The sequence below is a fragment of the Homo sapiens genome, chromosome 13 (genome assembly GCF_000001405.40).
Source record: "Homo sapiens chromosome 13, GRCh38.p14 Primary Assembly".
Taxonomy (NCBI): domain Eukaryota; kingdom Metazoa; phylum Chordata; class Mammalia; order Primates; family Hominidae; genus Homo; species Homo sapiens.
Window position 1 is genome coordinate 19,373,839 of NC_000013.11, and position 26,405 is coordinate 19,400,243.

A 26,405-nucleotide genomic window follows, 5' to 3' on the forward strand; every position below is an offset into this window, starting at 1 on the left:
GAAGGAGTTCCGTGCACAGTCAAGGGGACAGTGTCTGACGTCCTCCCAGTCAGTACTAGGTGGGCCCCAGTCCTGGTGTCTCCCAGCCAGGCACACTCTAACCATTCATTGCAGGCAGCGTAGCCCAGATTGCTGAGAAACTCCAGGACGCACCTTTGCCTCATCTTGGGTGGCTGGCCAGACCGGGATTCCAGGAATCCTACCCACTGGCTAGCGAGGTATTCATTTGCAGGATGCCAAGAGATTCTGTCTCCAGGACGGTGCTGACCTGCTGATTTGGGGAGACTCAAATTGCTTATATTAACAAGGACTCCATGAAAAATTTTCCCTGGCACCCTACACACCCTAGGGGCAGCCAAGCTTGCAGCAAATCCAGGTGTAGACAATGTTTTCAAATAAGTTAGATTTTTTTTTTTAATTTTTCATTTTGGTCTCTTCCCCGGATTATTGATTACAGATCATTAAATATTTTTGCCTTATTATTGTCACATGTTAGAATCTTACTGTTTATTATATGTCTGGGGGGTTTTTTCTTAATTTTCAAACATTTAAAGCCTCCCGCCTTTTCCTGAGTGAGGGAGTGATGAAAACAGTCTGTTGGAAAGATTAATTAGATAATAGAGACAACAGAGAGTAGTGGAGAAGACTTGATTCTGGAAGAACCAACGCACACAGAGATGAGGAGCTAGATGAGGGCTGGGTAGAGAGAGGGGAAAAGCCACAGAGAGGTCCCCAGGAGGAAAGGCCAAGTCCTGAGAGCCGATAGGATAGAAGGACTATTCTGGAATCATTTCCAGCCAACATGGCACGAAGGAGGCATCAAAGCCCACAACATGAAAGGGGCGATTTTCCAGCCGTCTTAACAACAGCTATATTGCCTCTGCTAAGTCAGTGTTGGTAAGACTTCAGGTGGCTTCTATTCCAGTTGGACATGAATGAACCACCTAACCGTGGGACTGGGGCATTTTATCACATGACACTAGCTCTCCATTGCAAAAGTGAAGCCAGGGTTGGGAATTTGAGGGGCATGATACAAATTCAAGGAAATTCAAATAAATATGCAAAATCATTTTCGTTCGTCCTTGTTCCTGCAAATGTAATCCATGTGGTCTCATCAATTGTATGGATTTTTTCTCTTCTTCAGGTCATTGTATTTCAGACATACACAAATAAAAGTCATGTGCCCATTGAGGCAAAATATATCTTTCCTTTGGATGACAAGGCCGCTGTGTGTGGCTTCGAAGCCTTCATCAGTGGGAAGCACATAGTTGGAGAGGTAAGGCGAGAAGATGCATCGTGCCCGCTCTCGGCTTTCAAAGTCAGCTTCCATTTCCCAGAACCTTTGTTTTCGGAGTCCCCATGGCTATAAGGTTGAGTAGCAGCCTTATCATAAAACGAGAATATTCTTTGAAGAACCAGTTCTTGCACAGTGAGCCTTCCTCAAATATCCCTCCCTGATGAAGGGTTTCTATCCCTATCTATCCAGTCTTCATGATCAGTGTCTTGCACATTCTTTCCCTTGGCACTGTAAGAGTGATTTCAGTATGAAAAGTTTAAAAGGGCCGGGTGTGGTGGCTCATGCCTATAATCCCAGCACTTCGGGAGGCTGAGGCAGGCAGATCACTCGATGTCAGGAGTTCGAGACCAGCCTGGCCAACATAGCAAAACCCTATCTCTACTAAAAATACAAAAATTAGCCAGGTGTGGTTGTGCACGCCTGTAATCCCAGCTACTTGGGAGGCTGAGGCAGGAGAATCTCTTGAACCTGGGAGGCGGAGGTTGCAGTGAGCCAAGATCGCACCACTGCACTCCAGCCTGGGCAACAGAGTGACACTCCATCTCAGAAAAAAAATAAAAAGAAAAGTTTAAGAGAGGCACATTGGAAAATTGGTGAAGCCCTTATATATTTTTGTAAAACCTGATCCCCGGCATCCTGCTATAAAAGTCAAGCTGAAATGAAAACTATTGTAACTTTCTAAAAAAAAAGAAAAAAGAAAGAAAAGAAACAACAGTTTATTAATTCTTTGTATATTGTAAGGATTAGACCACAGTTACAATTATAAACTACAATTTACTAAATTTAAAGTAATTATTATTTTTTGTTCAACATAAACTCCCAACCAAAAAAAATTTTTTTTCTCTATTGATTCTGAAATATTTTGATCCCAACTGAAAGAGACTTCTCTTTAGTTGGCCTTTCCTGGTTCAAATTCTTATCAGATAAGTACATTTCGATGATCACTTTATTTAAGTTTCCATTCATCTTAGACTCAGTTTTTAGGTTTTGCCTGGGTTTTAATAAACATTGATGTTGTTTTCTTCATTAAAGCCTGAAGTCACTCTTCATGTAAGGAATGATTTAAAAATCATCTTTTCCAGATTAAAGAGAAGGAAGAAGCCCAGCGAGAGTACCGAGGAGCCGTGACCCAGGGCCATGGTGCTTACCTGATGAGTCAGGATGCTCCGGTACCGCTTGGTGTGCATGCCGCGTGCATACAGGAGAGGGAAAGAGAGTTAGAACAAGATATGAAATACGAATTTCATGCTAGAGGCTGAGATAATTTACACTGTTGTAGGCCTAGAGTTCCACTTGCTCTAAGTAAGGGGAAGCCATGCCAGTCAGACCCATTTGACTTATCTAAACAAAAGAGGAAACGGCATCAATAGTTCCAGACAAACAGGAAGAGCTAGGCCTGTCATTGGGAACTGAGTTTCCCAGAAGGAATGACAGACAAAAAGATAACATTTGAGATATGTAACTTTCATCTTCTGATAAGAGTCTGATATATTGGCCGTGCACAATGGCTCACACCTGTAATCTCAGCACTTTGGGAGGCTGAGACGGGCGGATCACCTGAGGTCAGGAATTCGAGACCAGCCTGGCCAACATGGTGAAACCCCATCTTTACTAAAAGTACAAAAATTAGCTGGGCGTGGTGGCAGGCACCTATAATCCCAGCTACTGGAGAGGCTGCAGCAGAAGAATCTCTTGAACTCGGGGGGCACAGGTTGCAGTGAGCCAAAATTGCGCCATTGCACTCCAGCCTGGGTGACAAGAGCGAAACTCCGTCTCAAAAAAAAAAAAAAAAAAAGAAGAGTGTGATATATTTACAATTTCCCTGGAAGTAAGCTTACCTAGCAGATGGTCCAAACATAAAGAAGGGAGGCATTTCTGCCAGGTCTTGTGCGGGCCCAGCTCCTGTGCTTTTAGGTGATTAGCTTTAGCAGGGATGTGACCTGCACAGCGTGGAAGAGGGAACAGCTGGCAGGTCCACTGGACTACTTTCCTTAAATGTCAGGTGTTTTCACGAGGCCTCTGGCAGGTGCTAGATTGCGTGTAGTCAGCGTCTAACTCTAGTACAGATATTTTAGTTGTTTTTGCAGATGGGGCCATATGTTTGAGTATCACCTCTGAGGGAGACAAATGGCCATGGTGTTTTGAAAATTTAATGTTTGCTGGGGCTAGGGGCACATTCAAGATTAATATAGATCGAAGGGTTAAATTATTGCTCTTGACATCTAAGATATCCACTTGCAGGATGGGAATAGGCAATGAAGAGGTGATTATTGAACAGTTAACAATGCTAACTCTATGTATGGCCAAACTGTATGTATAGAAGCCTGGGGTTCATTATCGGGTTATCCTCCTATGTGAGTTGGTAAATGTTTCCTCCTAAATACCTACGTATTTCCCTAGGAATATGGTCCACAAGAAAACAGTCTTCACAAAAGATATTACCTATGGGTAAAGTCTGATCAGAACTATTGCTAACCCAAGACTTCAGGTCTCTCAGAATGTATTTGACATCTTGTGACTATAATGTTCTCATATCATAATATATGGTATTCACTTTGGGAGGCCAAAGAAGGAGGATCACTTCTTCAGCCCAGGAGGTTGTAGTGAGCCATGGTCAGGCCACTGCACTCCAGCCTGAGTGACTGAGCAAGACCCCATCTTTAAAAATAAACAAAATTTTGAAAAAAGGAAGGCATGTGATGGAGAGTTTGGGTGTGCAGCGGGGGAGCCTGCTCCAAGAAGAGACTGTGCCAGTTAGCACCGCCCATGCCTGGAGGGGCTGGGATCCGTTCTGCTTTTCTGTCAAGTTTTTGGGATCTTTCTGTTTCTCCCTCATCTTCCAAGCATGTGTTTGCAATTATAAACTCTAGTAAAGTGAGCTTCCCAGGGGTAGAGACCATCAGGCCTCCTCCTTGGCGTGAGTCCTGGTCCTCTGAGAGCCTCCCTGAAGGAGCACAGGAAGACTCCAGCCTGCCTCGCTAACGGACGGAAGCTGTAACTACCAATAACCCATGTTAGGGATCTTCTAGTCAATGTTATGATCATCACCAATTAATATGGAGGGTAAAGACAAATCCAGTCTTTATCCATAGGTTGAAAAACATCTTGGAAATTGTTTTCATAAGCTCTTTTTCTGAAAAATAATTGATGTTTTCTTTAATATTTCAGGAGGAACTCCTCTAAGCAAGGAGTTCTTGATAGTTGTAGAATTATTGTAGAGAGAAAAGTAATAGGGCACTTGTCATTTAAATGTCAGAGATGCTCTTTGCTAGAGTGAGAGTTGCTTCTTTATGCCTTTTGCTATGTTGATGTGTATCAGATTTTAAGAGGTAGACTTTATTCACTCTTTGCCAGCTCTAGGCCTTTGGGATCAGATTCAGGTAATATTGTTATTTATGGAAATTAAGTTGATATCTTTGTCAGCATTCTGATACCTTATAGGGTTGTTTTTAGAGTCATCTACTCCCTCCCTCAGGAATTGAAAGTCAAGAATTTCAACTTTTTTCTATTTGAAGGATAAGTTAGTCCTCTGATGGATGGGAGCTTAAATTAGCCAAACTTTCAGATGTTTCCTCCCATTATCACTTTCTCTGTTTAACCTCAGCTACACATGAGTACATTCTTCCCCATGTCATGTCTCTCATGTTGAGTTGTGAGCTTTCTCAACACTGTTAACAGGTACTGCAAAAATATTTCTCCAATGTCTTCAAAATTAAAACATGTGAAATGCAATCAGTTCTACAGCAAATCGTCACATCCTAAGGATTTTGTCCCAGTGTGGTGCCGGAGTATTTGAATATTTTAATGCAAAATCCAAGCATAGATGGAGAAAACAGATATGTTTTTTAAACATCTGGTTTTATGTTTACATGTGGAAATCTCACATTCTTCCAAGGCTAAGAAATAGGAATACCTGTGTTTCCTTGAGTGAGAGGGGAGCCGTAAAGAGGCAAGAGCTGCCGCAGGTGTGAGCCCTGCCTCAGGACTGCACCAGCGGGAACACAGGAGTTCATCATCTGGTCATTCTCCCAGCTCATAGTTTGATTTCTGCCTTAAAAATCATGGACTGATTTTTTAAAAGTGAATTATTAAATATGTTTTGCTGAAATTAATTTTCTTTATTATAAAATTTACCATTTTAACCTTTTTTAAGTGTACAATTTAGTGCTGTTAGCTACATTCACAATTCTGTGCAACCATCACCATCTTCAAACTATTTCATCAGCCCAGAGACTATGTATCCATTAAACAGTAACTCCACATTCCCTCCTACACCCAGCGCCTGCTACCACGATTCTACGTTCCGTCTCTATGACTTTGCCTGTTCTGAGTATCTCATATAAGTGGAGTCATAGGACATTGTCCCTTTATGTCTGGCTTATTTCACTTAGCATAATGTTTTTAATGTCCATCTATGTTGAAGCATGTGTCAGAATTTCCCTTCTTTTTAAAGCTGAATAATATTCCATTGCATGAATGGACCACATTTTGCTTATCCATTCATCTATCGGTGGACACTTGGGTTGTTTCTGTCCTTTGGCTATTGTGAATAATGCTGCTATGAGCATTGGTATACAAGCGTCTGTTTGAGTCTGCTTTCAATTCTGGATGTATGCGCAGCGTGGGATTGCTGGATCATATGCTCATTCTATGTTTAGTTTTTTTGGGAATTGCCATGCTGTCTTCCATAGCAGCTGCATCATTTTACATTCCCAGCACCAGTGCACCAGGATTCCAGTTTTTCCACATCCTCACCAACACTCATCATTCCGGTTTTTTCCATATTGATTGAAATCAATCAGCTTTTCTTTGGTTTGTTTTGGTTTTTGAGACACAGTGTCGCTCGGTCATCTAGGCTGGAGTGCAGTGGTGCAATCATAGCTCACCACAGCCTCGACTTCCTGAGCCCAAGCAATCCTCCCACCTCAGCCTCCAGAGTAGCTGGAACTACAGGTATATGCCACCACTTTTTTTCCTATTGTTTTTTATTTGTCTGTTTGGTTTTTGTTTGCTGTTGGTGTTTTTTGAGACAGCGTATCACTTTGTCACCCAGGCTGGAATGGAGTAGCGCAATCTTGGCTCACTGCAGCCCTGACATCCGGGTCTCAAGCCATCCTCCTGCCTCAGCCCTCCAAGTAGGTGGGACTACAGGCCCACACCACCACACCCAGCTAATTTTTTGTAGAGACAGCATTTCACCATGGACCCAGGCTGGTCTGGAATCCCAAGCTCAAGCAATCTGCCTGCCTTGGCCTCCCAAACTGCTGGGATTACAGGCATGAGCCACTCTGCCCAGCCACCACTTGTTTTTTAATAACAGCCATCCCACTGGGTGTGAAATGGGATCTCACTGTGGTTCTGATTTGCACTTCCCTAATGGCTAATGACATCAAGCATCTTTGCATGCACTTGCTGGCTTTTGTGTATCTTCTTTGGAGAAATATCAAGTACTGGAATCTACTCATACCAAGGCTGCATATTAATAATTAGCTAAAGGCATAATTTCAGGATGCTTTGTAAATGTAAAGGGTATGATCATGCTATTATTTAAAATTCTAGCTGGGCGTGGTGGCTCATGCCTATAACCCCAGCACTTTGGGAGGCTGAGGCGGGTGGATCACCTGAGGTCAGGAGTTCAAGACCAGCCTGGGCAACATGGTGAAACCCCATCTCTACTAGAAATACAAAAATTAGCCAGGTGTGGTGGCACATGCCTTTAGTCCCAGCTACTTGGGAGGCTGAGGCAGGAAAATCACTTGAACCTGGGAGTCGGGGGAGGTTGCAGTGAGCCAAGATTGCGCCAGTGCACTACAGCCTAGGTGACAGAGCAAGACTCCATCTCAAAATAGAATAAATAAATAAAGTAAAATAAAATAAAATTCTGTTTAAAATCTTTTCGGGAAAGTACCCTGTAGCAGGAGGGAGAGAAAATACCATAGAGTTATAAAATTCCCGAAGGATAGAACGTATACTTTATTTTAAATGTGAAGTAACTATTTTCTGGATGGAGCATTGAAAGAGAAATAATTCCTCTTTTATAAATAGACAGAAGACCAAATGAGCAGGCAATGTTCTCCGAGTTGCCACTCTGTCTCCGTCAAATGGCGGCAACTCAATCCAGATGCACCCGAGGCCCTGCAGGCCCCAGCCCAGGTGCCGTCCTTGTTTTGCAATGATCGACTCCTTGTCTATGGATTCATTCCTCACTGCACACAGGTAAGAAGGCACAGAGTTTGTTATTCTATGGGAAGACCAATATATTTTGCTAATTTTTTTTCTGTCTTCTTCCCTCCCCTTCTCACCAGCAGATTTTCTTCTTCTGGGAACACAGCTGGTGGTTAGCCAGGGCTTTGGGGAGGCTTCTAGTTTTTATTGAAAGGGGAGAGTAAATCACCAAAAGAATTTCTGTTAAACCAAGACACTGCAGAGTGGAAAGGCTAATGAGGAATTTATTTTTTTTTCCCATTTCAGGCAAGTTTGTGTGCACTAATTTAAGAGAAAGAATTTTTGTACAATAGTGTCGACTATTGAGCTTCAGAAGACAACTGCAACTTTAAGATTCAAAACCTAAACTATCGACCCATTGTTTGAAAGTTATGATTTTATATTTCCATATATAATGCTCCATGTCAAGCTTGTCCAACCCACAGCCCAGGGCAGCTTTGAATGCGGCCCAACACAAATTCGTAAACTTTCTTAAAACATTACGAAAATTTTTTGCAAGTTTTTTTTCAGCTCATCAGCTATCATTAGTTAGTGTATTTTATGTGTCGCACAAGACAATTCTTCTTCCATTGTGGCCCAGGGAAGCCAAAAGATTGGATCCTCTGCTGTCTGTACTTCCTTTGTTGCTTTCCTGTGTTGAAATTTCATTACACGATGTGGAGATGGGCCATCTGTACCAATGAGTATACTTTCCTTCGGTTTCTAACGCAGCACTTCTTCATCTGAGGTAGTTGGGTCTAGGTGTGTCTATATGGGCATCAGTGGGAGGCAATATCTGCAATTAAATATGGCATTTATGCTTGCAAATTTGTCTAGAGAGGTTCTCAAAGATGTTCATGACTCAATAAAAGTTACATGCCATTGGGGTGCGGGCCCTGCGGGACGGGACGAGGGCGGGGCGCCAACCGCGAGCACCCCCGCCTCCCCCCGGGCTCTGCTGGCCTCTGCGCGCTGGGGCCGCCTCTCCTTCCGCAGGGGCAGCGGGGTCTCCTGGAAGCCCCGGAGCCTCATGGAAGCCCGGGAGGGCGGCGGAGCGGGGCCCGCAGCGCGGGGCCCGGAGGGGCAGCCGGCGCCCGAAGCCAGGGTGCACTTCCGAGTGGCGAGGTTCATCATGCAGGCAAGTGTCAAGCTAGGGATGCGGTCCATTCCCATTGCCACTGCTTGCACCATTTACCATAAGTTCTTCTGCGAGACCAGCCTGGACGCCTGTGACCCTTACCTGATTGCCATGTCTTCCATTTACTTGGCCGGCAAAGTGGAAGAGCAGCACCTGCAGACTCGTGACATCATCAATGTGTCCAACAGGTACTTTAACCCAAGCGGTGAGCCCCTGGAATTGGACTCCCGCTTCTGGGAGCTCCGGGACAGCATTGTGCAGTGTCAGCTTCTCATGCTGAGAGTTCTGCGCTTCCAGGTCTCCTTCCAGCATCCACACAAGTACCTGCTCCACTACCTGCTTTCCCTCAAGAAGTGGCTGAACCGCCACAGCTGGCAGCGGATCCCCGTTGCCGTCACTGCCTGGGCCCTGCTGCGGGACAGCTACCACGGGGGTCTGTGCCTCCGCTTCCAGGACCAGCACATCACCGTGGCGGTGCTCTACCTGGCCCTGCAGGTCTGCGGAGTTGAGGTGCCCGCTGAGGTCGAGGCTGAGAAGCCGTGGTGGCAGGTGTTTGGTGACGACCTTACCAATCATTGATAATATTGTATCTGATCTCATTCAGATTTATACCACGGACACAGAGATCCCCTAAGGCCCTGGCCCAGGTCTGCCCAAAGAGAAGCCCAGGATGGTCGGCTGCCTGGGGACATTGCCACCACGTCGCCACGATGGCTGGTCCTCAGAGGACCAGCTGGGAGGACTGGTTGTGCTGCTGGAGAAGGGCTGGAGAAGGCGATAGCATGCTGCCGCTTTGACAGTCCCTAGCAGTCGCGGTCCAGATGATGGTGGGAGCCGCGCCTCCAGCGGGCAGGCCGGGAGTGCACTGCGTGCAGCTGATCCAAGGCAGCCACATCTGCTTTTGTCCTTTGAGAGGACTCTGACTACAATATAGGCATGACATCAATGAAAGGAAAATCATGAAATCGATGAGACTGAATCCCTAGGGATTTTTTTAAAGCCAGATTTATAGCGAGAATGAATGTGCAACGTGGCTGAAATCTATTTTGTGTAATAAAAGGTGATGCTAGTCAAAAAAAAAGTTACATGCCACTGGTCTACTGATGCTACTTAGAAATATTAGTTATAAAAGTACTGGACTAAGAGTAGATCATATCGTATATTGAGGATGTGGGTTTTTTCCATGTTTTGATTAAAAGCAAATGAATTATGAAAGAAAAAAATTCCTGTCTCCCCCATACTCACAGCATTTCTGGTTTCCAGATATGTGTTTTTCCCAACCAATTCTCTGACACCAGTTGCATGTCCTACAATTTAATTCAGTTCTGACACTAGCTGCCTGGGTTTGGCACAGACCTCACAGGATGAGGGCTCAGTCCCACAAGACTGTTCCCCACTCCAGACACCGGTAGCAAGTAGCGGGTCCCCAGGTTACCCATACTTCTGGTCAGCTCCAAGTCAGTGTTCCCACAACCCTTTCTCAGGTTCAGTAATTTCCTGTAACAGCTCACAGAACTCAGGAAAAGTTTGCCTTAGTATTACTGATTTATTGCAAAGAATATTATAAAGGATACGAATGAACAGCCAGATGAAGAGGTATATAGGGTAAGGCCCAGAATAGTCCCAAGCACAGGAGCTTCTGTCTAACATACAGTTGGGATGCACCATCCTCCTGGCACATGAATGCTGACCCAGAAGCTCCCTGAACCCCCTTAGGTGGGGTTTTTAATGCAGGTTTCATTACAAAGGCCTGGTTGATTAAATCATTGGCCATTGGTGATTAACTCTCCCCTCTCTGGAGGTTGGGGAGTGGGGTTGAAGTTCCAGCCCTCTAATCATATGGTTGGTTCCCCAGCAACCAGCCCTCATTCTAGGGACTTTCTAAAAGTCACCTCATTAACATAAACTCAGGTGTGGTTGAAGCGTCCTGTTAGGAATAACAAATACATACATTTCTTATGTCTGTAGGGAAGTTCAGACTTTCCCTCTGAAGTTTCCATGTTTGGTCTATAAAATAATCCAACGATAGATTAACAGGGGAAGAGACATGCAGATGTCGTTACGTGTGCATGAGCCACATGAGACTCAAAGAAGGGCCAGATGACTGAAGTTTCATACCGTACAGAGGCGGGTGGGATTGTGGGGCTCCTGGGGGAGGTGGGGACAGGTTGTGGGAGGGTGAGGGGAGGAAACACGTGGTGAGCAAAGGCTTTCTTGTGATGCAGATGAAGTCTGGCAGGCAGCAGCCCTGAGAGAATAGAGGCACCTCTGGTAACAGTTTCTCTATCATCCCTTTAAAGTATCAGACTTCAGCCTCCTCTTCCTGGGAGTTCATCTTTCCTAAATCTGGATAAGGCAGATAAGGGGGTCTCAGAGAAAGCCTGTTTGCATCTGCTGTTTCCTTCACCGACATAGGATTCCTCTGCAGATGCAAATATTCCCTGCAAAAGGACTGCTTTTCAGAGCTACTCCTATGTCTGCTGTCCCTCTGAATAGCATCTCAAAATATGCCGAAGAAGTATCTTTTGGGGTGGCCTATTTTACCTTTTTACATATCACAATATCACAAATTATTACCAAGAAGCAACATTTGGACTGGTACTGAATCCACTATAGTTTAGCCTATACATGCTATTTATGTAGTTTTTTTTATTCAAAGGAGTATTAGTATAACCAGATAAATCATTTCCCAGACATTGCTGGGTTTTTTCTCAAAAATGTATAGCTTACTTTTCAGCACTAAATCGGTATCATTGACTTATTAGTTGCCAGTGACTTATGTATAGAACTTAAGCTCAATATTGCTTTAAAAATTAGATCTTTGTGGGTACTGATAAGGGAGAATAAATTAAAAGAGAATAAAATAAAATAAAATCTAACTATTTTTAAAAGTTAGCTCTAAGGGGGAAAGAAGGTAAAATAATTTTACCTGGGAAGAGGTCATTTTCCATAGAGTCACAGCAAGTTGTACTTCCTCTGTGAGAAGCAGCCTTATCAATGACAAAATTACAAGAGTTGGAATGAAGGAGAGTTCCATCACTCAGTTGTTGGAGAGGAAGCACCTGGTGGTGCACATTGTGCAGTCTTCACCCTTCAGAGTGCAGACCATGTTCACGGACGGGCATCCCAGGGCCAAGGTGGCTCTTCCTATGGTAGAAAAGAAGTTTTCAATTTTTTAAATAAAATGAATTGACAAAATGGCCTTTTATAGAAAAAGCAAAACTCTAGGGACAGAAAACAGATGAGCTGCCAGAGCTGGAGGAAGCTACACAGGGGCACACAGGAACCTTTCAGGGTAAAGAGAATGTTCTGTGTCTTCACTTCAACAGTGGTCACACAACTGTATACATCCCTTAAGACTCATCAAACTGTATATTTAAGAGGAGTGCATTTTACTGTATGCAGGTTATACCTCCGTTTTTAAAATGATGTTCTTTGCAAGTCTTGTATTAGAAGCCAAGTGAATCTTTTTTTTTCCTTTGCTACTTAAACACAGATGATCCACAAGCTGGCAATCCGAGCTCTAATCGGAGATTACGAAGATGGCATTCTTCACGAAAATGAAACCAGTCATGAGGTTTGTTCTTTTCATTGTAAAAACTATTAGATATTCTTCTTGAGCATTCTTACATTGATTTATCTGTGGAAATAGAAAGTGAGGTCAGCTGCGTGGAGAAAGAGACTGTGGTGTCAGGGCATTCATCACTGTATCTGTGACACTGTGCCTGGGATGTGGGGTGTGTGGTAAATGTTTGTTGAATGAATTAACAAAAGAGTGGATGTCAGTGGTTTCTGGAAAATTCTGTAATGTTTTACTTATCAGAAAAAGCCCAAGGAGGGCTCAGAGAACACTCGCTGAGTGCCTGTAGTGGACGTCACCTCAGATCTCTCGTGTGGTAGCATTAGTATTCCCATCTTACTGATGAGAGTCCTGAGTGCGAAATGCTGAGTGACCTGCCAAAGCCCACCTGACTCCCCCCATGCTGTGCAGACCAGGGCCTCAGCAGAGGGGCCCCTCAGCCAGGCCACCGGGACTGGACTGCCCAGCTGTTCTCTGAGGGATGAGATCTTCAACAAGGCTGTGAGTGTTAGTCCTCAATGCCATCCCACAAGAAGGTGACAGCAGGCCCTGGAGACCCCCACAGTCAGTTCTAGTGACAGATGGTCACCTGGTGGTCTCCCTATTCTCCTCAGATGCCGCTGGGTTGGCAGCTTCTGTGTGCTGTTTTGTTTAAGACCCTTTTATCCTGAACAAGACATTCCATCTTTCCAATTCCTCAGCTTTAAATTGGGAGCCACAGACTGTGAAAGAATGAGAAAGCCCACTGCCCGGGGGAGCTCTCTGTGAACTACAGGGAGCTGAATAATGAAGAGTGACATTTTCTATGGCTAAATCAGTTGATCTCATTTTAAAGGGAATATTGAGCCACCAATTTAGATGGGACCTACAATTCAATATTTAGTCTGAAATACGAATCTTAAAATGATTTACTGACATAGCTAAATAGAAATAAACAAAACAGGACATGACTTATGTTTTATTCTATCCTAGATGAAGAAACAAACCTTGAAATCTCTGATTATTAAACTCAGTAAAGAAAACTCTCTCATAATACAATTTACAAGCTTTGTGGCAGTTGAGAAAAGGGTATATATTATTGTTAATTTTAGGTTAAATTATTTTATTTATATTTCCACATTAAGAAAGTCACCCTTGCTTTGGTGGTTAATGACAACACCCACACCCTGGGCCTGGGAAGCGTGGGTTGCAGACAGGCCAGTAGGCCCCACAAGTCCCAACCTCCCATTCATGGGGGGCTTCGGTGTTGGGACTTAGGGTGATCTTTCTAAATGAGTTGAGTATGTTATCATTTTTAATGTTATAATTATTAATAATTAGCTAATGTGTATTTTTTGGATACCCTATAATTTTGTTACAGTTTTGGCATTTATTGTCTTTTTTTAATCCAAGACCCTCAAAAAATAGAAAAGGCCTGGGTTCCCTGAGAGCCCCTTTCCCCTACATAAGTTTAAGGGGAAAATTCACATAACGTGCCCAGCACAGTGGCCAGCACCTGCCAGTGCTCCGTAAAGAGGAAAGTCACTCCACCTCCCCACTTTCCCTCACGCTTGTGGCCCATGGCACAAGCTCCAGTCCCACACACCAGCGTATCCCAAACCAACACCCCATAGGCTTTAGAATGTGTAATCATCATTTAATTGGATAACGTCTATTTGATTTAATCTATTTGTGATTCAATATAGGATGAGAATGAATCGCCTTTCCCTGATATTCCAAAAGTTTCTGAACTTATTGCCAAAGAAGATGTAGACTTCCTGCCCTACATGAGCTGGCAGGGGGAGCCCCAAGAAGCCGTCAGGAACCAGGTAAATGCTGATTACCAAATAAGTTGATATCGTGCTTTCGTTTGTTCATGAAGATGAAGGGAACCCTTTGCTAAAATAGCTCCCTTCTTACCTGTACATGAAGAAGTTGTTGTATCCCTGATGATGGAAAATATTCATGCATTTATAAAATGTTGAATTACATCATGTTGCATTACAGAGACTTCACATTGTATGAATGGAGCTGTATAGTACAAAAAGAGAACACCTGTGGCTGTGCTTCTATCATGGGCAAATAGATTGTCATCCAGGAAGCTAAAGTCATTTAGGTAGGATAATAAGTTTGTCATGAAATTATCAATAGAAGTGCTATCTAATAATCTAAATTCACCACCAATATTTCTTAAAGTTTATAGTGCTTTATACTGTGGCCCTTATAACCAGAAACATAATAGAAATGAAAAAATGTGGCTTAAATAAAAATTGGAAGACAAATTCAAAAGCAAAGAAACTGTTTTGTTAACAGTGCTGATAACACTCTTAGGTCTCTAGGTTAAAAAAACTAAAATTTCCAAAATTTAAGAATCTAAAATCTAATTGGGCACCATGGTTCATGCCTGTAATCCCAACACTTTGGGAAGCTGAGGTGGGAAAAATCACCTCAACCCAGGAGTTTGAGACCAGCCTGGGCAACAAAGTGAGACCTCATCTCTACAAAAAGTTTTTTAGTCTGGGCGCAGTGGCTCATGCTTGTAATCCCAGCACTTTGAGAGGCCAAGGCAGCAGATGGCTTGAGCCCAGAAGTTCAAGACCAGCCTGGGCAAAATGGTGAAACCCCATCTCTCCAAAAAAAATACAAAACTTAGCTGGGCGTGGTGGCGCTTGCCTGTAGTCCCAGCTACTCAAGAGTCTGTGGCAGGAGGATGCTTGCACCCAGGAGGCAGAGGTTGCAGTGAGCCAAAATGGCACCCCTACCCTCCAGCCTGGTTGACAGAGCAAGGATTTGATCATAAATAAGAAAATAATATATGAAAGATGTGCAACCTTGTTGCTAAAAGAAGTTAAAATATAAAAACTGCCATGAGATTCCTTTTTATTTTTTAACTCTGTCAGGTTGGCAAAGATCACAAAAGGTAGATGATTGAAAGTCAATAAATATAGTGGTTAAGATCACAGGTGCTGTGGCCGACTGCTCAGGTCTGAACCCCAGCCCGCGCTTCACTCTCTGGGACTTGACCTTCCCAGTGCCCCAGTCCTAATGCCCAAGTGGGGAGAGTGGTAAAATCCACCTCAGGTGGTTGTGAAGAGTTTTGAGACCATTATAACATGTCTAGCTCGTGGATATTTGATAAATATTAGCTGTAGTTATTAATTTGCAAAGGTGTCTGAAACAGACACTGTTGCCCAACAGACGGGGCAGAAAGCTGACAAGTGGCCTTGGGTTTGGAGGGATACTTGCTTTTTCTTCTTTTTTTTTTAATCTTAATTTTTTTTTTTTTTTTTTGAGATGGAGTCTCGCTCTGTCACCCAGGCTGGAGTGCAGTGGCACGATGTCAGCTCACTGCCCCTTCCACCTCCTGGGTTCAAGTGATTCTCATGCCTCAGTCTCCTGAGTAGCTGAGATTACAGTTGTGCACCACCACACCCAGCTAATTTTTGTATTTTTAGTAGAGACAGGGTTTCACCATGTTGGCCAGGCTAGTCTCGAACTCCTGACCTCAAGTGATCCACCCGCCTTGGCCTTCCAAAGTGCTGGGATTTCAGGCGTGAGCCACCGCCCCCGGCCTTACTTTCTTACAGTGCACCCTTTTGTATATTTTGAATTTTGAACCATTGGCATGGATTGCCCATGAAAGAAAAATAATACTTTAAGCAAACACAAACAAAGAGTTTGGGGAGTCAGGAGGAGTAGGAAGTTCATTGTTTTGGGAAAAAAATTCTGATATACAATTAAGAATCGACTATTTGTCCTTGAAACAAGAGAGACTCAGTGTTAAAATGGGCCCTGGAAAATGTATACTTATCTTATATGTGTTTCAAAAACGCACACCCAGAAGAAGCTCTGAAACTGGAGATGGTCATGGTTGCACAACAGTGTGAGTGTGCTTCATGCCACTAACCTCTAAAATGACTAAAATAGCAAACATTGTTATATACATTTTTCCCACAATAAAAATTAAATTAACAAAATAAGAGATACGCCTCTACACTCTGCCACACACGTAAGTACTTTGTTCACAGAAAAGGTCTGGAGGGATATATGCCAGAGATCAGATAAGACATTCTGTATGGCTTTTATTTTCTTCTTTGTGTCTGTCTACTTGTGTCTACTTGTATTTTCTAATTTTCTCATAGTGCACATGTATTGTTTTTAGATTTTTGGTTTTTTTTGAGACAGGGTCTCACTCTGTTGCCCAGGCTGGAGTGCAGTGGCACCATCATAGTTCACTGCAGCCTCGACCTCCTGGGCTCTAGAGATTCTCCTACCTCGGACTCCCAAGTAGCTGGGATTACAGGAGTGAGCCACCATGCCTGGACTGTTTATAGAGATTTTTGAAGTTATTTTCAAAATTAGTTATAAATTAATTTAGGTTTTAATACAGTGTGCTAATAAATTATTTCATACTAAATTTGCAAATACTTTGGATCTGAATACTTCCAGATCCAAACATATCAGATGAAAAATATTATCCATTAGCTTGATGACTTGAAAGTTTATATTTATGTTAGCTGCAATAAATTTTTTGAATGGACCATGTAATTTAGCAAAAATGTCAAGCCTCTGTTACTCTCCCTCGGTATCTGTTTTACCAAAATGTGGCACCTGCCGCATTCCGCACGGAGTCATTCCACTGAATTCAGTAACAAGCCAGCCGCAATAGAGCCCGGACATCCGGGTCTGTTTGGTCCTTCCCGACTCGCTGAAGCTTGGGGCATTTCCTTATTTGATACGTCTTCATTGTGAAATGAGACCCTCCAGGGAGCGCAACACCTTTTCTGCTGGGACGCGCTCAGGAAGGACAGCGCTCAGTGCTGGGTGCTCGCTCCCCCGCGCAGCCACACCTGGGCTTAGGCGCAGTGTCTTCTGCACCAACCCCAAGTCCACTTCGTTCCCTCCTGCTCATGAAAGCACATTGAGAACAAGCGAGAGGCAGACATTTTTAAAACATACCTCCTAATCCAAGTTTTTAAAGTAAATCATTTGAAAAATTCAATGCTATAACTCTTAGCAAGAAATTGAGGGCACGGAAGCTAGGGGTCCAGAGCCCACACTGTTCCTTAAATCAGGGGTCCCCAACCCTCAGTCCCTGGTCTGTCAGGAACCTGGCTGCACAACAGAAGGTGGGGGGCAGTGAGTGAGCATTACCACCTGAGCTCGCCTCCTGTCACATCAGCAGTGACAGTAGATTCTCATGGGAGCCCCGAACCCTGTTGTGAACAGCCCATGGAGGGATCTAAGTGCTCTTTCTGAGAATCTAATGCCTGATGATCTGAGGTGGAATAGTTTCATCCCAAAACCATCTGTCCCACCCCGTCCATGGAAAAATTGCCTTCCATGAAACCAGTCCCTGCTGCCATAAAGGTTGGGGGCCACACGTTCGATGATCAAGGTGTGGGTGTGTGGTTAAGCAAAATAAGCAACTGTGAACTTGAAGGGAAAGAGGAAGCAAGTGGGTGATTTTGGCAAATAGAAGAATCATGACGAGGCCAGGCACAGTGGCTCACACATGTAATCCCCACACTTTGGGAGGCCAAGGTGGGTGGATCACCCGAGGTCAGGAGTTCAAGACCAGCCTGGCCAACATGGCAAAACCCTGTCTCTACTAAAAAATACAAAAATACTATCCAAGAAGCAATTTCATAAAATAACCCATATTTCTCAGTATGATTTTTTTTTTTTTTTTTTTGAGATGGAGTCTCACTGTCACCCAGGCTGGGGTGCAGTGACTATTCACAGGCTCTATCACAGACCACTACAGCTTTGAACTCCCGGCCTCCAGTTATCCTCTCACCTCAGCCTCTTGAGTAGCTGGGATGCTCCACAATACCTGACTTAATAAAATTTTGATCTTTGCAAATCTTACAGGTGAAAAATGTATTGGTGACATTTAAGTTTTTGTTTCTTTATGAATGAAGAGGAGCATGTTTTATATTCTTACAGCCCTACGTATCACTTCCTGTGTGTTATCTGTTCATGTCTTTTATCTTTTTTATTGAGATTTTAGTCGTTTTCTTATTTATCTTAGGAAAACTTTTTATGTTAGGGAAATTAGCCCTTTGTGATATGAGTTGTGAAAATTTGTTTCCCAGTATTCCACGTTATTCTGATGTTGCTTATTATCTTTTTGTCATGCAGATTTTTTAATGCAGTCAAATTTTTAATCTTGTGTTTCTTCTTTTTGTTTAGTGTTGTTTTGCTTTTCATCATGCTTAGAAATACCTTTCCTAGTTGGAGATTATACTTAAAATTTTTTCCCTTTATTTCTTTAAATAGTGTTATGTTTTCATGTTTACATTCAATTTTTCATCCAATTGAAATTTATCCTGGCACAGGATGAGAGATATGGAACCAACATTTTTCTTTTCCAGATGGCTATTCCTTTTCCTCCTATTGACTTGAAATGCCACCTTCATAATCTAGTAATTTTCATGTTTTAGGAGCTATTGCTGGACTTACCTACTCTGTTCCTTGATTCATCTACTATAATTATTGTAATTTTATAAGAGACTTTAATATCCGATAGGTCTAGTCCATCACCATTGGTCTTTTCCAGTTTGCTTCTCTGATTTTTAAAAATTTAACCAGATAAGTAATCATTATTTTTAAATCTGTCTTTTCATATGTTCTATAATATTAATTATTCAGGTATATACTTAAAATTTGACTGAGTTGGGAAAGGACTACTCCTGTTTTAAATAGCTTATATTCACAGGTAAAATTACAGGCTATTTATTTCAAAAATATCAAGGACTTGTCGTCCATATAAAACTGGATTTGCTACAGGCAACTTTTTGAGGAACACTCTTTCCATTTAGATTGAAACAGTAATAGTAATATAGCATCCCTCAAAATTTGTTTTGCATGCATATTATTCATATTCCGGTATAACTATATGTTCATTTAATTACCTTAAAACTTTTGGCTGGACAGAGTCTCACACCTGTAATCCTAGCACTTTGAGAGGCCGAGCTGAGAGGATCACTTAAGCCCAGGAGTTCAAAATCAGCCTCATCAACATAGCGAGATCATATCCCTACAAAAGAATCATTTAAAAATTAGCTGGGTGTGGTGGCACATGCTCACAGTCCCAGCTACTGGGGAGGCTGAGGTGAGAGGATCGCTTGAGCCCAGGAGTTTGAGGCTATAGTGAGATGTGATTGTGCCATTGTACTCCAGCCTCAGGCAACAGAGCAAGACCCTGTCTCAAAAAATAAATAAGTAAAAAACTAAATAAAGCTTTTAAGACTGTTTTTCCATTTTCTCATTTTCTTAATATTGCTGTAAAGCAATACAAAAGACTAGAATAATTTACTTCAAATGACTATCTTATTTTAGGCCTAACATACACCCTGTGATACTGCTTGTTGTAAAATCTTGGGCAAGTCACTTCTGTGCTCCTCAGTTCCCTCATGTGTAGAATGAGGGGTGTTTAAAATTCCACAATTCTGAGAACTAAGAAAGAAGGTCTTTCAATCTATTGATTGCTGATATTCTCTCCAGGTCTCAGCTTCCATGTCTAGAAAAAAAGGGCCTTGTACTGAAATGATCTTGAATGTCTCTAGTGGCATTATTTTCTTTCCTTTTTATCTTTTTTGAGACAGAGTATTGCCCTCTCGCCCAGGCTGGAGAGCAGTAGTGCAAATCTGCACTCATAGCTGCCTCAGCTTCCCAGGCTCAAGCACTCCTCCTGCCTCAGCCTCCCAGGTGGCTGGGACTATAGGCGTGAGCCACTACACCCAGCTAATTTTTTATTTTTTGTAGAGATGGAGTCTCACTGTGTCGCCCAAGCTGTTCTCAAACTCCTAGCCTCAAGTGATCCTTCCTCCTTGGCCTCCCAAAGTGCTGGGATTACAGGTGTGAGCTGCCGCGCCCAGCACTGGTGTTATTTTCAACATCCCAGCTCACATTGATGATCCTGATTCTGGATGAGCAACTGCCTGATGGGTGGGAAGTCAAGTGCTAGGAAGAATGTTTGCTTGATTGTTCTTTTTATTCTGTGTTTTCCCCTTACGTTAATAATTCTCTCTTCTGGGCAGCCTCTTTTAGTGTCCTCTGAGTGGCAAGAATTACGTTCATCCAAACCAAAATTTAGGGCTAAAAGAAAAATGAAATTATCTAAGCCAGAAGTTTCTGAAGATTTTGAAGAGGATGGCTTAGGTGTACTACTAGCTTTCACATCAACTTTAGAACGTGGAGGTGTGGAAAAGCTATTGGATTTAAATTGGACAGAGTCATGTAAACCAACAGCAACTGAACCACTATTTAAGAAAGTTAAGAAAGTCCACTGGAAATATCTACATTTTTTTTTTTTTGAGACGGAGTCTCGCTCTGTCACCAGTGCTGCAGTGCAGTGGAGCGATCTCGGCTCACTGCAAGCTCCGCCTCCCGGGTTCACGCCATTCTCCTGCCTCAGCCTCCTGAGTAGCTGGGACTACAGGTGCCCGCCACCACGCCCGGCTAATTTGTTGCATTTTTTGTAGAGACGGGGTTTCACCGTGTTAGCCAGGATGGTCTCGATCTCCTGACCTCGTGATCCGCCCGCCTCGGCCTCCCAAAGTGCTGGGATTACGGGTGTGAGCCACCGCGCCCGGCCGGAAACATCTACTTCTAGCCTTTTTTGTGTTTCTGCTCCAGCCTTTGGTTCCTCTCTTTCCCCGGCTGCCCGCTCTCACAATGCTGCTTCCTTGCCTTTTGCCTCATATTGTCAGATAGCTAGTTTTGGTTTTGCTGCTCCTTCCAGACGGTTTGATGCATCTCAATTCAGCCAAGGCCCTGCGCCTGGCAGTTGTGCTGACTGGATCCCACAGTTGGCGTCTTGTCCCACAGGACCTCTCCAGAACCCGTCTTCTGCACCCTACTGTGGCATTACTTTTTCAGGGAGCTCATTGAGCTCCACACAGTCTGCTCCACTGCAACCTGCTGGAGGCCGTATGACCAGGCCTTCTGCTGGCACCTTCCCTGAGCTGGATTCTCCCCAGCTTCATTTCTCTCTTCCTACAGACCCTGATCCCATCAGAGGTTTTGGGTCTTATCATCCCTCTGCTTCCTCTCCTTTTCATTTTCAACCTTCCGCAGCCTCTTTGACTGCCAACCTGAGGCTGCCAATAGCCTCTGCCTTACCTGAGCCTCTTTACAGTCAGTCCTGGACTACCCCAGTAGATCTCTGTCTTCTGGAAGAATCAGTAAGCGGTCTCGAAGGAAGTCAATATCCTGACTATGGTTTTCAAAGTTGTTCTGAAACAGAAAGTCATGAGCTATGAGAAGTACTTCTAGACAGTTGCTTTTTACAAATAAAATGTGATACAACAGACAACAGTATCCCGTGCTTTCTGGAGGTAATAGAGGAGGATGAAATAGTGTGCACACAGCACTGGCAGGATGCTGTGCCTTGGACTGAACTCTTCAGTCTACAGACAGAGGTATGTGTCTTATTTCTCCTTAAATCTGTGGTTAGCTGGCTTCATAGTTTAGAACGGGGCTCCTCAAAGCAGCTGGTCAAGGAACTGTCTATCGTCAGTCTGTAGTGAAGGAAGGGGCTTGTGCACTGGGGTGTAAATCATACTGCTTCCTTCACTGAGGAACTCTTGCTACAGAACAAAACAGACAGCTGAACAAAACAGTGTGCTTGATGCTGGCTGGTGTTTCCCTACCAACATTAGACCAGAACCTCATGCTGGGGAATGTTACTATTCCTCACGTGAAAATGAACATCTCTGAACAGATGATGGGGTGAGATCTTAATTTCCTAGATTCTAGAACTAATGGATTGTAATCCACATAAATTTCCCACTGTGAAGTAGAGCACAAGCACTTGCACCTGTACTCTAAATATTTTCATATAAGGTCATGGGAGTACAGATATTATTCAACATGTAGATTGTGTTAGAGCTTATCACTCCATTTGTTAAGCTGATAAACACCCTGTAGATTTGGCCCCATCGCTGGTACTAAGACCCAGTCCTGCATCTGTGATTACTTGTTTTGGTGTAAAGCAGTTTAGTGAAATGGAAAGGGCTTGATGTAGTATAAAAGTAAGCGTGAGTCCCAGCCCACTTTGTGATTTGGGGCAAGTCAGGTAACCTGTCTGAGCCTCAGCTTCCTCATCCATATAGTGGAGATAATGATAGTGTCTACTTCACAGAGTGGGTTTGGGGTTTAAACAGGATAATCACAGCTGCCCAGTTTCCCTACTTGAGACAGTGCACCCAAAAGCCTGCCAGGAGCATACTGCAAATGGTCAGGAGTGTGGATCCCACGGCCACTCCTGGCTCTGCTGCTTGTTAGCTGTGAGACTTTAGACAAATTGCTTAACCTTTCTCTGCCTCCGTGTTCTCATCTGCAATGTGGGTGTGACAAATCATGCTCCACAGGAAGTGGCTAAACACATAAAAGAACAGCACCTGGTACCAGTTCTCTATGGGTTGGTACACATTATCACTGCTGTCATTTTTCAAATTATTGCCATAGATCCTTCAACCTGTGCACCTGCCTAGGGCCACACCCTGCTTTCTGCTCCCTGTGTTGGTTTCCCTAGGGCCTGGATTCTGTCTCCGTTGAGGTTAATATCCCCAAGCTCAGGCTTAGCACACTCTCCTCTGCATGTGATGGGGCAGGCAGATGATGGGGGGTGCAGGGAAGGTAGTTTTAAAGTGCATGTTTAATATAACAATTTTGTACTTAGAAAAAACTGTCATTTTCATGTTTCAGACTACATCAGGGTACATTTTTATGTTAAACAAAAGGAATCATGCTGGAGATCTACTGTACAATACACCGCCTATGATTGACAATCCGATATGGTATACTGAAGCATTTGCTAAGAGGTCTATCTTATGTTAAGTACTCTTTCCACAAAAGGGAACAAAACAAAACAAAAGGGGTGGAAGAAAAGTTCTGGGAGTGGTGGCTAAGTTCATGGCATTGATAAGTGATGGTTTGATGGTTTCACGGGTGTATACTTATCTCCAAACACATCAAGTTGTATACATTAAATATTGGTGACTTTTTGTATGCCAATCATATTTCAATAAAGTGGGGTTTTTTTAAAGAGGGAATCATGCTATTTAAAAGTTTGAGAAATACCAGTTCAATGCTCATTGCTAGTTGACAATGCAGTAGGGTGACTATAGTTAACAAGACATTGTATATGTCAAAATAACTAGAAGGAAATATTTGAAATGTTGCCAACACAAATACATGATAAATGTTCAAGCTGAGGGAGATCCTAAATACCCTGACCTGATTATTTCACATTCTATGCATGTATCAAAATATCATGTGAACCCCAAAATATGTACGAGTATTATGTATCAATAAAAAATGAAATAAAGCATTGCTAGAAGAAAAAAAGTACGATTTAAAAAAATCTCTACACATGAGCCTCTTTCCACACTTTTTATAAATGCCACCAGATATGTAGTGTTCATAGCATTTATGAGGTTCCAAACAATACTATGTCACTAGTGTATGAAGAACTTTATTTTACAGTAATAAAAATGTTAGAAATGCCTTAATTAACTGAAATTCAATACATGGAAACATATTTATCACATAACTTCTTTTTTCATTTAATTTGTTAAAATTTTATTTTAGATGCAGAGGTACACGTACAGGTTTATTACATGGGCATACCGTGTGGTGCTGAGGTTTGGGCTTCTAATTGTCTTGTTGCCCAAGTAGTGAAAATATGTTTTTCAACCTTGCCCCTCTCTCTCCCCCACTACATAACTTCTTATGTCATAAAATGTCAATAACATAACTTACCTTTGTTTTCTTAATTTTGTAGGATGGCTTCTGGAAACTTACACCAGAACTGGGATTTATATTAAATCTTAATACAAATGCTTTGCACAGCTTTCTTAAACAAAAAGGCATTCAATCTCTAGGTAAGTCACTATGTTTCCATTTATTAAGTCATTATTTTCATTCATTCATAAGCATGCTCCTAACTGTTATAAACTATTTTGTAAACTAGTGTACTAATGTAATAATTATGAAAGTTATATTTGAATGGAATTGTATTTAAGCATTAAAGGAAATGGGAGATTGGCTTCTAGTCACATTTTTACCACTAACTAGGGTATTGTCTGTGCAAACTTATTAGCATAAATAGCACCAATTGTTCAGTAGCTTAACATAACCAAAGATTACTTTCTTGTCCATATCACAGTCAAATATTGGTCAGGAAGAAAGTTCCACTTATGTGGTCATTTAGAGACCTTGACTCCTTCCATACTGTGGCTCCACCATCTTCAATATATGTCTTTAAAATTATCCTGGTAAGAGAGAAGAACAAAGATTACCCTGGCATCATCCCCCTGCTAGACAAGAGGAAGAATACTAGTCACATAGCCCCATCCATGTACGAAGGCCTGAGAAATGTACTGTTAAGCTGAGTGTCCAGGAGGAGAAAAGAGCTCTGATGAGCTCCTAGCCAGCCTCTGCCAGAGGCAGTTGTTCAACCTCTGGACCTGTTTCCTATCATGACAACAAGGGGATAGATGAGGAAGTCCTGAGCATCCTTGACCCAGCAAGTGGTTTGAAGGTCAAATGCTAGCCCTAGGACAGGAGCTGTTTGTTTGTTTGTTTGTTTTGAGACAAGGTCTGGCTCCCTTGCCCAGGCTAGAGTGCAGTGGTACTATCTCGGCTGACTGCAACTTCTACCTCCCAGGCTCAAGGGATCCTCCCACCTAAGCCTCCTGAGTAGCTGGGACTACAGGCACCTGCCACCATGCCTGACTAATTTTTGTATTTTTTGGTAGAGATGGGGTTTCGCCATGTTGTCCAGTGTGGTCTCGAACTTGTGAGCTCAAGCAATCTGCCCACCTTGGCCTCCCAAAGTGTTGGGATTACAGGCATGAGCCACCATACTCAGCCTGGAGATTTTTTTTAATAAAATACACATTATTAAACAACTAGCCAATATTCATGAATAGATAGAACAGCAGTGTCTCACTGGCCACCATCACCTCTAAAATGCCAGAGTTTTCAGATTCCAGGCTGGGTGGGTGGGCAAATGCATAGCCTGTTTGACCTGCACTAGGCCAAAAAGGGATGATGACAATTTACGTGAGGAGTGAGTGCTTGATCCTGGAATAATAGAAGAGCCTCTATCTGACTAACTCTCCTGCCAATAACAGTTATTAACTTTGAATAAAATGTTTAAAACCGTTCTTTGAAGGCTAGGAGAATAATCAAAAACAGGCAGAAACTAGAGTGAATATAATCTTTGAAAGAAAGCAAGCCAACTAGGTGGGCTCCACATATATCCAGCTTGTCACCTAAAGGCATTTCTCAGCTCATGAGACACAGTGGGAGGTTTGAACTAAAACAGAAAGTCTTAATGGGATGAGGACACGGGGTTGGAGTTTGAGGTTGCCTACGTGGCTGGAAGTTAAGGATTAAAATCCTATAAAGTAGGGAACCACAGAGCAGGGAGCTCTGAAATCTGCATCCAAATACCCCTCAGATTCTTGGCTGTCTCCTAACCTCTACGTATACAGGGTGCAACCTCAAGGAATCCAGAAAAAAGCCACAGCTGGGAAGCTACAGAGCTAAGCAGAGATTTCAGCTGCTGCCTAGTACTGGCCAGAGTTTACAGTTCAAGTGGCACCAAATTAGAGAGACTTTATGAATATCTTTCCATTGAAGCCATAAAAGGGTCATAAGGATCATATCTCATGATCAAGGACTATGCCCCAGGACAAAAGGATAAACCAAAATAGACCCATCCTAATAAAGCCTAAAACAAAGCCTACACAGGACCCACCAGAACAAAACTGAACACTCTTTAGAGTAAGATAGCATAGCTGAGAGTCTCTACAAGGTGTCATTTTTAATGTTCAGTATGGAATGAAAATTTAATAACATATGAAGAAGCAGGATATGACTTGTGATCAAAGGGAAAATGGGCTACAAATGCTGACCCACAGATGACCCAGATGTTAGAATTAGCAGACACAGACTTTAAAGCTGCTATTAAAAATATAGTGAAGGATTGATTTACCAGAAAAGGATGGAATGGGTGAATAAATGGCAGAATCTCAGCAAATAGATGGAAACTAAAAAGAAGAACCAAATGAAAATCCTAGAACTGGAAAATATAGTATCTGCAATGAAAAGGTCATTGAATGAGCTTAACAACAGAATGGACACAACAGGAAAAAAATCATTTAATTCAATTTGCAATGTACTCAATA

General features: G+C 42.8%; 2 pseudogenes; both read left to right on the forward strand.

The window, feature by feature from the left end:
- The window catches only part of PARP4P2 (poly(ADP-ribose) polymerase family member 4 pseudogene 2), a 59,018-nt pseudogene that overhangs the window by 24,708 nt on the left and 7,905 nt on the right, over positions 1-26,405 (forward strand).
- CCNQP3 (CCNQ pseudogene 3) lies at positions 8,421-9,470 on the forward strand (annotated as a pseudogene).